Source organism: Homo sapiens, chromosome 16 (genome assembly GCF_000001405.40).
Source record: "Homo sapiens chromosome 16, GRCh38.p14 Primary Assembly".
In the NCBI taxonomy this organism is placed as follows: domain Eukaryota; kingdom Metazoa; phylum Chordata; class Mammalia; order Primates; family Hominidae; genus Homo; species Homo sapiens.
The window spans coordinates 11,059,789-11,073,614 of record NC_000016.10 but is presented as its reverse complement, the minus strand read 5'-3'; the positions used below and the strand labels follow the sequence as shown (position 1 = coordinate 11,073,614).

At 48.2% G+C, this 13,826-nt stretch overlaps 1 protein-coding gene across 37 annotated transcripts in view; it reads right to left on the bottom strand.

Moving 5' to 3' along the window:
• Positions 1-13,826, bottom strand: part of CLEC16A (C-type lectin domain containing 16A) — a 237,623-nt gene that overhangs the window by 108,572 nt on the left and 115,225 nt on the right. For all 37 annotated transcript variants that reach the window (NM_015226.3, XM_005255214.3, XM_011522434.3 and 34 more), the window contains one exon: positions 12,593-12,713. In NM_015226.3, the coding sequence (NP_056041.1) occupies positions 12,593-12,713 (121 nt within the window). The remainder of the gene's footprint in view (positions 1-12,592; positions 12,714-13,826) is intronic.

Here is a 13,826-nt window from a genome sequence, read left to right as displayed (position 1 = left end):
GCAAGACATATGGGAGAAGAGGAGTGTCGTGGGTAGCTTGGGCCGCTGCACTGCGAGGATCTGAGAGTTTACAAGCAGGGACATGATGGCGGGTTAGGCGCCTTTTACATACTGGGCATCAGGATGGATGAAGCAGCGTGGCGCAAGGCCATGGGCTGGGGTAGAATGGGGGAGATACTGGGCAGGGGAGAGGTGTGGAGAGGCCAGACCAGGGATGGGGCAGAGCTGTGGAGTCCAGGGAGCTGATGATCCCCCGATCGTGAGGTTGGAGGAGGGTTGGGAGTGATTCCAAGTCAGCAGGTCGGGTGATGAGCAGCTGCTCCATTAAATGTCTACCTGTGGAGCGACCCCATGAGGACTGAGGACTGTGCTTCCTTTAAAGACAAAAACACGGGACCCCGGGGGTGGGGGCAGAGAACAGGCCAAAGTGCCACAAAACCACACTCGCCTTGCAATCCAACTCTTTGAATGCCATGTACATACTTGCCTCTTGGGTTTCATGTTAACATTAGTCCACTTCAGAGTCAGCACTAAGCAAACCGCTTCTCCAGGGCCCATGCCTGGATGCTTGAACTAAATTGCCCCCAAGGAGCCATCTGGGTCTGATTCAAGTTCCCACCCCATCCTGTGGTTTCAGCTCTTCAATCAGACGGCACCCACTTTCCTGAAAGTCATCTTTCCAAGAACCTTATTATCTAGTTAACAAGCCTGTGTTACCTCCTCTGCTTTTCAATGTGTCCCCTGGACAGAAGCAGTCACGAGGCTGTGCTTTGTTAGGATTCCGACAAAGAACCCTCCAAAGAGAACAGACATATTTCAGTGCCCAATATGCAGTCAAGAGGAAGAATTGTAATGACTGTTTCTATCACAAACACTTGTGTACACTTAGTGTGATGCTGAGTATTTCTGATGGACTTTTCTCTTTTAATCAACAGAACAGTCCTGAGGTAGGCACTATTAGACCCACTTTACAGATGAGGAAGAAAGGCTCAGAGAGGTTAACTAATTTGTCCAAGGTCACACAGCAGGAGTTAAAACCCAGGCTTTTCTAAATCTGGGGCTCCAGTTCCTAAACATTATACTCCCCATCTATTAAATGTTGGATTTTCAAGGACTGGATTATCTCTCTCTCTCTCGTCCCTTCCTTTTTATTTTGAAGATTTTCAAATTCTCATAAAAGTTTAAAGAATAGAATAGGCCAGCTGTGGTAGCTCACACCTGTAATCCCAGTACATTGGGAAGCCGAAGCAGGAGGATCACTTGAGGCCAGGAGTTGGAGACCAGCCTGGGCAACATAGAGAGACCCCATCTCCACAAAAAATAAAAAAATAGGCAGGCATGGTGGCACGTGCCAGTAGTCCCAGATACTACAGGCTGAGGTGGGAGGATCGCTTGAGGCCAGGAGTTCGAGGCTGCAGTGAGCCAAGACTGTGCCACTGCACTCTAGCCTGGGGGACAGAACGAGATCCCGTCTCAAAAAGAAACAACAGTGTAACAGACAAACATGTACCCTTCACCTTGATTCATCACTTGTTGACAGTGGGCTGCATTTGTCTGCTCTCTCATTATACCCGCACACACACACAGTTTTATCTTCTGAATCAGTCCAACATTATAGGCATCAGACACTTTACCCCTACACACTTCAGCCCATACTTCCTAAGAACAAGAACATACTCCCACAGAACCACAATGGCATTATCACACTCAAGAAAGATAATATTAGCCAGGCCAGGGGTTCTGCCTGTAGTCCCAGCTACTTAGGAGGCTGAAGTAGGACTGCTTGAGCCCAGGGGTTCAAGACCAGCCTGGGCAACACAGCGAAACCTCATCTTAAAAAAAAAAAAAAAAAAAAAAAAAATCAGCCAGGTGTGGTGGTGCACATCTGTAGTCCCAGCTAGTCAAGAGGCTAAGGTGGGATGATCACTTCAGCCCAGGAGTTTCAGGTTGCAATACTGCACTCCAGCCTGGGTAACACAGCAAGATCCCATCTCTTAAAAAAAAAAAAAAAAAAGAAACGTAATATTGACCTCAATTATATTACTCAATCACAATCCATATGCAAATGTCTTCAGTTTGCAGAAAAATGTCCTTTAAGGCTACTTTTCCCCCTCAATCTAAGATCAATCCAGGCTGACAACTGTCATGTCACTTTGTTTCAATTATCTAGAAACAGTACCCCTCTACCTTCGTCCCCCTCTTTTTTGGTCTTCCACAACATTTACATTCTTGAAAAACTCAGGTCGGCTGTCTTCTAGAATGTTCCGTATTCTGGATTTGTTTTTCATTGTCTTTCTCATTTATGCCACTCATTTTCACTAGGATGAGAGGCACATGACAATGCCTGGGTCATCAGCAAAATAAGCCAACACAGAGAATTTTCCAGAACTGACAGGACCACAAAACTAGTACTGGTTTTACAAGAGAAAGAAATCAATGAGCTCACATTTTCACAGACTGACAGTCAAACCACATACTTGCTTGGGGAGCTTCATAATACTTTTGCTGGAAACGAATCTCCAGGCAATCCGATGAAAATAGCCAGGGACTTCCACTCTGCCTAAAAGCTCTTGTCTGCAAAGAAGCTGGGGCGAAGCACGCAGAATGCTAGGAAGTTGGATCCTGCAGAATCTTTATGATATTCACATTAATCCGCAAATGAAGAATAAACAAACAGGGCGATGTGGTCAGGATTTCAAACATGGAGCAAGAATTTGGGGTACGGTTTTCGTGTGTGAGCTTTCATGGGCCTCGTGGTGCCCTCCAGTGTACTTGTGCTAGGGAACAAATGGTTTGCAGGTTGGGGTTGGTAAGAAGGCACAGTCAGAGCAAAGACTCTGAGGTGGGTACATGCCAGGTGTGTTTGAAGAAGAGCAAGGAGGCAGAGACAGGGAGGTGGTGTCACATAATAAGCCTCAGGGGTAAAGGTCTCTGTTTTTTATTCAGACTGGCATGGGAGCCCACTTTGAACAAATGAAGAACATGATCTGGCTTCTCGTTTAAAAGGAAGACAGTTCATGCTGCTGAGAATAAACTCTAGGGGACAAAACAGAAGCAAGTGACTGGGCAAGAGACTACTGCAATAATTCAGGTAAAAGATAATGGCACAGCTGGGTGCAATGGCTCATGAATGTAATCCCAGCACCTTGGGAGGCCAAGATAAGAGGAATGCTTGAGCACAGGAGTTTGAGACCAGCCTGGGCAACATAGTGAGATCCCATCTCTAGCTTAAAAAAAAAAAAAAAGGCCGGGTGCAGTGGCTCACGCCTGTAATCTCAACACTTTGGGAGGCCGAGGCGGGCGGATCACGAGGTCAGGAGATCGTGACCATCCTGGCTACACAGTGAAACCCTGTCTCTACTAAAAATACAAAAAAATTAGCTGGGCGTGGTGGCACGCGCCTGTAGTCCCAGCTACTCGGGAGGCTGAGGCAGGAGAATGGTGTGAACCCGGGAGGCGGAGCTTGCAGTGAGTGGAGATTGCGCCACTGCACTCCAGCCTGGGCAATAGGGTGAGACTCCGTCTCAAAAAAAAAAAAAATGGTGGCAGTTCAAACAAGGTGCTGGGAGAAGCTGGGAGAGAAGGTAACATCCTGACAATACAGTCGTCCCTCCATATCCATGGGGACTGGTTCCAGAACCCCTCAGAGGACACCAGAATCCACAGATGCTCAAGTCCTTCATATAAAATGGTGTCGTATTTGCATATAACCTATGCACATCCTACCACACACTTTAAACCATCTCTAGATTACTTATAATAACTCATACAATGAGATGGCTATGTAAATAGTTGTTATGCTGTACTGTTTTTAAAATCTGCTCATTTTGCATGGTTGTATTTTTTTGTTGTTGTTTTTTAAAAATATTTTCAGTCTGGGTATGGTGGCTCATGCCTATAATCCTGGCACTTTGGGAAGCTGAGGCGGGAGGATCGCTTAAGCTCAGGAACTTGAGACCAGCCTGGGCAACATAGTGAGACCCTGTCTCTACAAAAGATTAAAAAAAAAATCAGCTGGACATGGTGGCACGAAACTGTGATCTCAGTTACTCAGGAGGCTGAGGCAGCAGTAGGATTGCTTGAGCCTGGGAGTTGGAGGCGGCAATGAGCTATGATTGCACCATTGTATTCCAGCTTGGACGACAGAGCGAGACCTTGTATAAAAAAAAAAATAGTAATAATAATAGGCCAGACACAGTGACTCATGCCTATAATCCCAATACTTTGGGAGGCCAAGGTGGGTGGATTGCTTGAGCAGAGGAGTTTGAGACCAGCCTGGGCAACATAGTGAAACCCTGTCTCTACAAAATATACAAAATCTCAGCCGGGTGTGGTGGTGCATGCCTGTAGTCCCAGTTATTTGGGAAGCTGAGGTGGGAGAATCACCCTAGCCTGGGAAGTTGGGGCTGCACTGAGCCGTGATTATACCACTGTACTTCATCCTGGGCAACAGAGTGAAACCCTGTCTCAAAATAAATAAATGGCCAGGCACAATGGCTCATGCCTGTAATCCCAGCACTTTGGGATACCAAGGCAGGCGGACTATTTGAGGCCAGGAGTTTGAGACCAGCATGGCCAACATGGTGTAACCCCATGTCTACTAAAAATACAAAAAAAAAAAAAAAAAAGAAAATTAGCCAGGCGTGATGGCATGCACCTGTAATCCCAGCTACTCGGGAGGCTGACACATGAGAATTGCTTGAATCTGGGAGGTGGAGCTTGCAGCGAGCCGAGATTGTGCCTCTGCACTCCAGCCTAGATGAAAGAGCGAGACTCTGTCTCAAAAAATAAATAAATTTTAAAAATTAAATAAAAATAGAAATGTTTTCAATCTGTGGTTGGTTGAATCTTCAGATGCAGAACCTGAGGACACATAGGGCTGACTGTATTTTGCGGCAGAGGCTGAATAGGTCTGCTGACCAACTGGAAGTTGAGCTTGAGAGAAAGAGGGGAGTCAGGGATGAGCCTGTGGTTTTTGCCACCAGCATGGAACTGCCATCAACTGTCTGGAAGCCTGCAGGGAGACAGGTTTTGTGGGAAAGCTCACATCTTGTGTTTGTGGTAACCAAGAAATGTTGGGCAGGTAGCTGAGTACACAGGTCTGGAGTTCAGCAGAGACTCTAGCAGCTGGGAGAAGGGTTCACTCCCATGAAGAGGAGCAACTGACTGCTGCCTGTGGGGATGCAGGCTCTGCGTGGACAGACTGTCACTGTCTCATATTCAAGGTGATAGCTAGGTTTTTACGATAAAATATCCTGATTTTAAAACATTAGCAACATAAAATTCGCTTGCAAATGCTTTACTAGCCATGAAGCTACATTTGTGGGCCCACCTGCCTGAGGACCAGCTGTTTGCAACCTCTATATCCACCTTATTGTTCTGCCTTACAATAACCCTGCAAAGTTGGGCATCGCTGTTCTCATTTGATCAATGAGGGAACTAAAGCACAGAGAGGGGAATAGATTTGTCCAAAGTCACATGGCTAGGAAGAAGCATGGCTGAGATTCGGTCTGCATTTGTCTAGGATCCAAGGCTTCCTCCATAACCGCAGCCTGACTTTTAAACAGGCAAGTCCTGGCCTGGAAACAGCCAGAAGGAGAGCAAAGGGAAGGTCCACAGCAGCCTGCCTTGCCAGGAGGTGAATACAACCCAAATAGTTGGGTTGTTGTTAATAATTAGCTTCAAAGGTACGACGGTTTGGAGAACACGCCGGATCCAACTGGATGGACCTCTGTGCAATAAAAGCCCCTGTACCTAGGCCACAGAGTGGACAGAGCAGCATTCAAGACAAGTCTCTGGGGCAAACCAGACTGTCCGAGCCTGGTGTGGATGCCAGCTTGTGGACACCACCTCTTAGTTCATGCCTTGTAGGCCTGGCCTCCCCATGGGGCTCCCTGCTGTAATGCTGCCCTGACCCATAAATCTCTTCCACTGAGGCCAGAGAGGGCCTTTTGAGATACAAATCTGATCACATCAGCTAGGTAAAAACTTTTCTCACTGTTTTTAAGATAGAACCCTGAACACTTGATATGCCCACAGGGCCTGCATGGCTTCCTACCCAGCCTCATCTTGCCAACCACCTTCACCCTCCCACTCCCCGACTCTGTGGCCACACTGCCGTCTCTCATCTTCCCCAAATCCCCATCGGCCCCAGGGCCTTTGCTTCTTCTGCGCCACTTCTCGGCACCCACACCCCCCCTGCAGCCCTCAAATGGGCCCCTCCTTCAGAAGCCTCCCTGACCTCCAGCCAGGTTAAACCCCGTCACCTGCTCTTAGAACAGGAAACACGGTGGTCATCTGAGTTTGATCTGTGCTGCTGTGATTGGAGTTTGCCTTCCCCATAAGCTTGGAAAGACAGAGTCACTGGCTTTTGCTAGAGTAATTGGTCTGCACTTGCTTTTTTTAAAAAAAAAAAAAAAAAAAAACAAAAACAAACAAAAAAAAAACCAAAAAAAAAACCCCCACAACAACAACAAACCCACTCCCCATTAAAGCACAGTATGTGTGTATACAGTTGCCACTACTGTTTCTTGGAAAGACTACCCTCGTTCTGAAATGATGTGCTACCTACTCAATATTAACAATGTCTTTTCTTTTATGGAATGATTGTTCATAAATGCTTTTTTTAAAAATGACTACTCGGTAAACAAACAAAAGTTGGCGATCCGTCCCCAAAAGCTTTGTTTTTTATTTTTGTTTTGATGCTTTTCTGGGCTATGAAATCCTAAGGGCTGGGACCTACTGTTCTGTACTTGATGAGTATTTTCCAGGCCCCCAGACCCTGGGAAGTATGTTCAAGCCTGGGAGAGCACTCACACCCAGTGTACAGAGGTCTGCTTATTCACAGACGTTTCTCTGCAGGTTTCAGGACTTCCCTTACACACCACATGATCTAACACACTGTCGCGAGGATCTTTTGAGGAACAGCCAGCTAGGTTATGCCAGGCAAGAGTAAAAATGACCCAAAATTGCACCATGGTTACGTCAGAAGTCTCAGACAACAGAATATCATGCAGGCTACTAAACACAAGAGTTCTGAATCTATGAAGTAGCGAGGAGGCTTCCGGACTGCTCCCCCGCCCACCGGACATCCTGGCTGAGCTCCCTCATGGCACGTCTCACCTGGCCGCCCGACCAACTTCAGCACCTTCTGCTTGGAACCAGCTCCTCCTCCAGGATCAGCCCTGCTGATGACAGAATCACCATCCTCCCAGCCCCTGCCCCCTGGACTGCCCCAAGCTCAGAACCCCAGAGTTAACCGAGCTCTCTGGCATCGCCACTGCAAACTGTCACAAAATGCTGTACCCAGACTGTCCCGTCCCTCTTTGCCCACTAGCACTGACCCCTGGTCCCTGCCACAGCCTCCTAAATGGCCTCTCTGCAATTCTGTCAGGCACTGTTCTAGGCACAGCACAGATAATGCTCATCTACTCCTCCCAGCAAGTCCTATTTCACAGCTGTGGAAACTGAAGTGCCGGGAGACTCAGTTCCCTTAAGGTAATACAGCTGGCAAGCAGAAGGCAGCAAAGCTGGGACTTCCATCCAGGCACAGTCTGGCCCCTGAGTCCATGCTCCTCGCCGCCCTGCTGCAGGCCTTTCTAGCCCCCAGTGCAGCTCGAAGGCCCCTTCTGGGACCGTCTGACCAGGCAGTGCCAGCTCTAGAAGTGTCCGTTTGGGACAGATGTCCCTGTGAGAAAGCCCTGTAGTTGAGATCTGGCTCTTCCCAGCCACTGACCCACTCTTGCTACTTGTGTGCCAGCCACCCAAGTTTCTGTGAGGACCCTGGGACACAGCACCCTCTCTCCCACCTCAGCCTCACCTCTGCCATCCTTAAAAGGCAGTCCTCATTTCTGTGCTTTCTCGTAGAAGCTTCTGGTCCCTCCTGGCACAGCACCTCTTCAGAGAGGCCTTCCCTAACCAGCCCATGAGGATTTTCCTCCTGGTTATTCTCCAGCATGGACCCTGCTCATCACCTCTATGGAGCCATCCCAATCAGTCTGTGATCATGCATTTACTTAACCTACCTGTTAGTGGTTGCTCCCTCCACAACTGGAAACACCTCAAGAACAGAAGTGAAGTCTGGCTTTTGCTCACTCTCACATCTCAGCTCCTAGCACTGTGCCTGGCATACAGCAGGTGCTCAATAAATAGCTGAATGCATGAATGGGTCTTCATTGAATGGGCTTCACGAATTGATTTTAGAAATCAGAATACAAGTTAGATACATGTAGCACATGCTATGGCTGCAACTATGTGAATGTTAGGTGCCCACATGAACAGGCTGCAAGGAAACTGGACACTGAACACACCTGGTTGCCAGGTGTCTCTTTGGGGTGTATGGATAATGGACAGATTTCTCCCCTATTGTGGTTGCTCATGATATTTGGAAACAGGCAAGAATCCTTTAAGGAGGCTCTGAGGTCAATCCCAAGGAATCTGTGGTTTCTCCTCAAAGCCTGCTTGTCCCTGTTCAGGAGGCACACTGGAGTGAGTGAGTCTCACAGCCTAGACGGGATACAGCTCCCTTCCTCTGGCCAAAGCAGCCAGAGCTATATCTTTCTTACCCCTCAAAACAGTGCCATCATCCGAGCAATGACCTGAATGTCTCAGGACACTGTTCTCAGAGTGTTGCTTAAGCAGAAAATGCCAGCCCCATGGAGCCCAGCAGGATGAGTTTCAGCTTGCGTATTCAGCAGCTGCAGCAGGGAAGCAGCCAACTCCCACTCACTGGGCACCTACTAAGTGCCAAGCATGGTGCTGTGAGCTTTACATGTGATCTCATTTGAGCTCCTTGGAAAGTCTTTTAGAACCCTGTTTTGGTTTTGTTTTTATTTTTTTGAAAGAGGGTCTCACTCTGTCCCCCAGGCTGGAGTGCAGTGGCATGATCAGGGTTCACTGCAGCCTCAACTTCCCGGGTTCAAGAGATCCTCCCACCTCAGCCCCTCAAGTATCTGGGACTACAGGTATCTGCCACCACAACCGGCTATTTTTTTGGATTTTAGTAGAGACAAGGTCTCACTACGTTGCTCAGGCTGGTCTTGAACTCCTGAGCTCAAGTGATCTTCCCACTTCAGACTCCCAAAGTGCTGAGATTACAGGTGTGAGTCACCACATCCAGCCCTAGAACCATTTCAAAGGTAAGGCTACTGAGCCTCACAGGCATGAAGACTCTGGGGAAGATTACAAAGATGATTACTCCAATGATGCCAGTGGCTGCAAAATCAAATGTCAACAAGACCCGGGCGGCAGCACATGGGTGAGCACAGGCCCTGTCTACAGGCCCCTGCACCCTGGCCTCCATTCCAAAGCAGCAGCTGGGGCTGGGGAGGCACTCGGTTTGCAAATGGTGGCAATCAATTCCATTAAAAGGAACAATACAAAGTCCTTCTCTGTTAGAGAGAGGTATTTCTAGATGTAATAATATGATGTCTTCCATTTGCTTTAATACACTGTGTGGGTGGGTGGCGTATTTTAAATAGACAGATGAAAGGGCAGATAAAATAAAACTTAGCTAAATGGTAAAAACTGTTGAAGCTGAGGGCTGGGTATATGGAGATTCATGATGCTATTTTCTCTAGAAATCCACTGTTTTATCTAGTTCCTCCCCTCTTCCCTTCCCTCCCTTCCCCTTTCTTCCTCCAATCCCTCCTTCCCTTCAACTTCCTTCCACTTCCCTCCCTCCCTTCCTCTCTCTCTTCCTTCCCACCCCAGCCCCCCATCACTCCAGCAGATGTGGCACACGTGGCTGCCAGTTCCTGACCTCTGCCCTCTGCCACTCTCCTCTCTAGTGAAAAACAAAACAGGCTTCACTTTAAGCATGACCAGTTTGCCTCTTTGCTGAGTGGTGACCACATCTTTAATGCTCCCCATGAGAAGCCACCTTTTATGACAGCCGGAGCTCGGCTGTCACACCCAGCCGAGAGACCTGCTGCTGGTCAGCAAGCACTTGGGGTGGCTTCTGGGGAATATCCTTTACGCTGTTGTTTCTTACTGAAGTGTGACAAGGGGCAGTGAATACACTTTACGCCACCTCTTCCTGCTGTTTGGAGACAGCACTCCTTTAAGCCTAGCAGACCACATGGAGTCAGGTAAATGGTGAGCAGTCCCTAACATTTCTCCCGGAGTCAGCTTTCTCAAGTTCATCAGGGAGACAAAAACATGCCCAGCTTCCAGTCATGCAGCAAGCAAGAATGGCTTCACCTGTCCTTCACCTGTATTTTGTATACAGAAGGCGTTTGGTCAGATTGCACACTAGGGTGATTTTCCCCCACAATGGAAGGTGAGGAGAAGCTCCAGCATTTACAATCCCTCCCTCAAAAAAAAAAAAAAAAAAAAAAGGAAAGAAGAAAAAAACCAAATAAACCAACAATACAGGCATATCTTATCCTAGTACCACGTGCTTCCATAATCCCTACTATTTTCTGAAAGTCGCCCTCCTTAGCAAAAGACATAATTTGCAATCAGGCTGGGCAAAGACAAACAGCCATTACTTTCTTAATGGCCAACTACCCAAAAAGGCTCAGTTAAGTGATCTCAACTAGCAATCTAATCAATTAAAATTGATAAGTGAAAAACTTTGAACCTTTATTCCAGCAGGCCATTCCTAGGGGGAGGAGAGAAGGAATGTGAATTCCCAGCATAAAATTTAATTCCATTTCACGGATGCAAACATTCTTGCTGCCCTGATGAAGTGCCCCCTCCCCACTGCCCTCCCCCACCCCCCCAAAGCAAGCTCTTTCTCTCCTTGAATCAAATCAGAGAAAGACTGGTTTATGATTCTTTGCAGCCAACTTGATCAATTTAAACCCTTAGAGAAATTCCTGTGGCCATTTCTCAAGGGCAAAAGGGCCAAAGGAGTTGGGCAGCAGGCAGAGAGGCGTCACAGCTGCTTTATTCTTCCAAGAAAGGGAAAGATAAAACATAAATAAGGCCAGAAAAAGAAACCAGACAACCAGGTAACACACAATACTCATTCACTGAGAACCTCTACGTGTCAGGCGGCATGCTATGCTCTTCACACGCATGACCTCCTGTAATACTGACTACAGTTTGCTGAGTACAGTTACACGGTAGGCACTATGCTTGGTCACGTGATATTTCATGTTCTATTTCATTCAATCCTGAAAACAATTCTGTATTTTAAGAAAGACCATCTCGTTTTACAGGAGACGAAACGGAGGCTGTGGGGGTCCTGTCATTTGTTCAAGGGAATACAAAGCAGGGTCTAGATCACAACTCTATAGTTTTGTCAAAACTCATTGAATTATACACTAACCCTTGGGGAGTTTTTTTGTATATAAATTATATCTTAATAAAGCTGATTTAAAACAGCAACAACAGTGCTACAGAGAGTGGCCCTGTGCTGTTTCTGCCCACCCAGCCACCATCCCTTCTTTGGTGGCTTTCCTTTGAGGGTCGCCTCTTCCCTCTCTCAGGTGATGGGGTTCAAAAGGAACTGGCCCTCCCTCCCTCCCAGCTCCAAGGCTGGGCATGCGACCCCAGCTTAGACAATCAGTGAGTCACATTCCTCTGACCACTGGCTGGTTCAGGGATGGTCATGTGCCCCAAGCTAGGCCAATAACACGTCTACCCCAGACTTTAGAGAATTAAAGGGAAAGAGAAGCTTCTCTTTCCATCAGGGCTGTGTAGCTGGCTCAACAAATCTTGGGGCTGCTGAAGGCCATCTTGCCACTACCTGGTGAGAGCCCTCCTGAGGATGAACAGAGGAAAGCAGAGTTGGGAGACGGAGGAAGGCAGCTTCCTGATGACAGTGTCTGAGCACCCGGATCCAGCCATGCCTGAAGGTAGCCTACTCCTGGACTTCCCAGTGACATCAGCCAATTTCCCTTTCTTTTCCTTAAGCTGGTCTAAGGTGAGTTTTCTGTCTCTTATAACCAAAGACTCCTAATATACCACAATGCCGTTAAGAAACAGAAAACCATGCTGCTCATTAGTGTGCCTGTGCCCTGTAGCAAATGGAGGAAAGAGAAAGCTATACAAATACGAGAGGGGTTCCAGGAACACGGTCAGGCTTTATGCCCATTGTCTTCTCTAAAGCTGAGCCTCATGCTGCAGATGAGAACAATGAGGCACTACACAGCGGAACAAGTAGCTCAAGGTTATGGGCTGAGCACGTGGTTCTCCAGCCTCCAAAGCCTTCATCCTTACCTAAACACTGGTGTTTTGCTTTTTACAAGTTTCTTTCTTTAGCAGCAGAACCCTTTTATCATTAGAATCATATAGAAAATGCTTAATATATAAAACCAACCAAACCGATGCCACTATGTTTATAGGGAGGACAGGAACCCTGGAGTTTGTTCACCCTTGCTTGAGCCTCCAGGTGCTCTGCAGAGACTTTTTAGAGAACCAGCTGTGTGAAAGCAGAACCCTCAAACTGATCTCAGAGAACCCAGGGGCCTTTTCTTCAAAACCTGCATGGGACATGCACACCGCTGGCTCAAGGTCACAGCTCAATAATAGTACAAAATGTAGGTTGCACACTGACCCTCCCAGTGGCGTGTGAATCAGCAGAGTGGTGTCCCATGTCCCATGTCCCCCAGCCCCCTGCTGTGACTCAGAGCAGCCAACTCACTCAGATCCAGGACATCATCAGTCTTGATCAGGTCCTCCTCCCGAGTCAGCGGCAACTGTGTCTCAGGCTCCCCTCGCAATTGCAGTGACAGGGAACGCAGCATGAAGAACACCCGGATGGCCTGGACCAACAGTTCAGAGAGCAGAGAAGAGTGAGATTGCAGAGTCATTTCAGTGAGATGCCCCACACCCAGAAATGACACCATGACTCTCTATTAAAAAAGAAAGAAACGCAATAAAGCCCACCTCTTCGGGTGTTTTGATTCTGGTACGTGCTTTTATAACAAGACAGAAAAAAAAAAATCAAAGGGGGAGTAGCCTGTTTTCAGTTATTCACAGGTTCAGGTTTGGGTTACTTTACCTGAACTGAGCACCCGTCATCTGCCAGGACCTTGTCCCCAAGTATCAGGTGACCTTCATAATAATCCCTGCCCAGCAGTCAGCCCCATTTCACAGACCGGGCAGCTGAGACCTAAGAAGGTGAAGTGACCTGCCCAGGCCATGCTTCCAGCAAGGGCTAGACCCTGAGTCTGTCTGTCCCAACCAAACCAGCATGGGCTCTGGAAAACCCAATCACTCCAAAAGCATTTCAAGGTACTACCTACTGAATACGGGGGTGGGGCAGACAGAAGAGGGTGAAATGAAATGCCTGTGGGCTGCAGGGCCTGAGACCTGAGGAAAATCCTACCCTGGGTGAGTCTCTTCAACTCCCGCTCCCTTGGTCTTACGACAGGGGGTGTGCTGCTGACGGGGCAGAGACCTCGCACCTAGCAGGTGGGCAGTGACCTTGGTTCCCTGAATGCCCCTCAGGCTTTCCCTGCCAGCAGACCAGGGGCACAGGTGGATCCACCAGCACAGGGATTCCTGGCCCATAGAAGTGGTGTCTGGTCAGAATTGTGTGGCCACCAGGTACTTTCAGAGAGCAGAAACAAAGCAGAGTCCCAGCAGTCGGAGCCGTGTGTGCAGAAAGCAGCCTCCAGCCCCAGGACAGGCTTGCCCACCAACCAGAGCAAGGAAGCAGAGGGGCAGTCCACAGAAAAGGCCACCTGCAGGCCTCTCTCCCTGAGGCACAGCTGCTGGGCCTGACTGAGGGTGCAGTGCCCCATGGGGACAGCTCCAGAGTCAGACACATGAGGTCTACATCAGATTCCCAGTTCCACTAGGCTGGGCAAGTCCCCTGACTTCTGTGAGCTTCCTTTTCCTCATCTGTAAAATGGGCATGATAGCTCGCATGC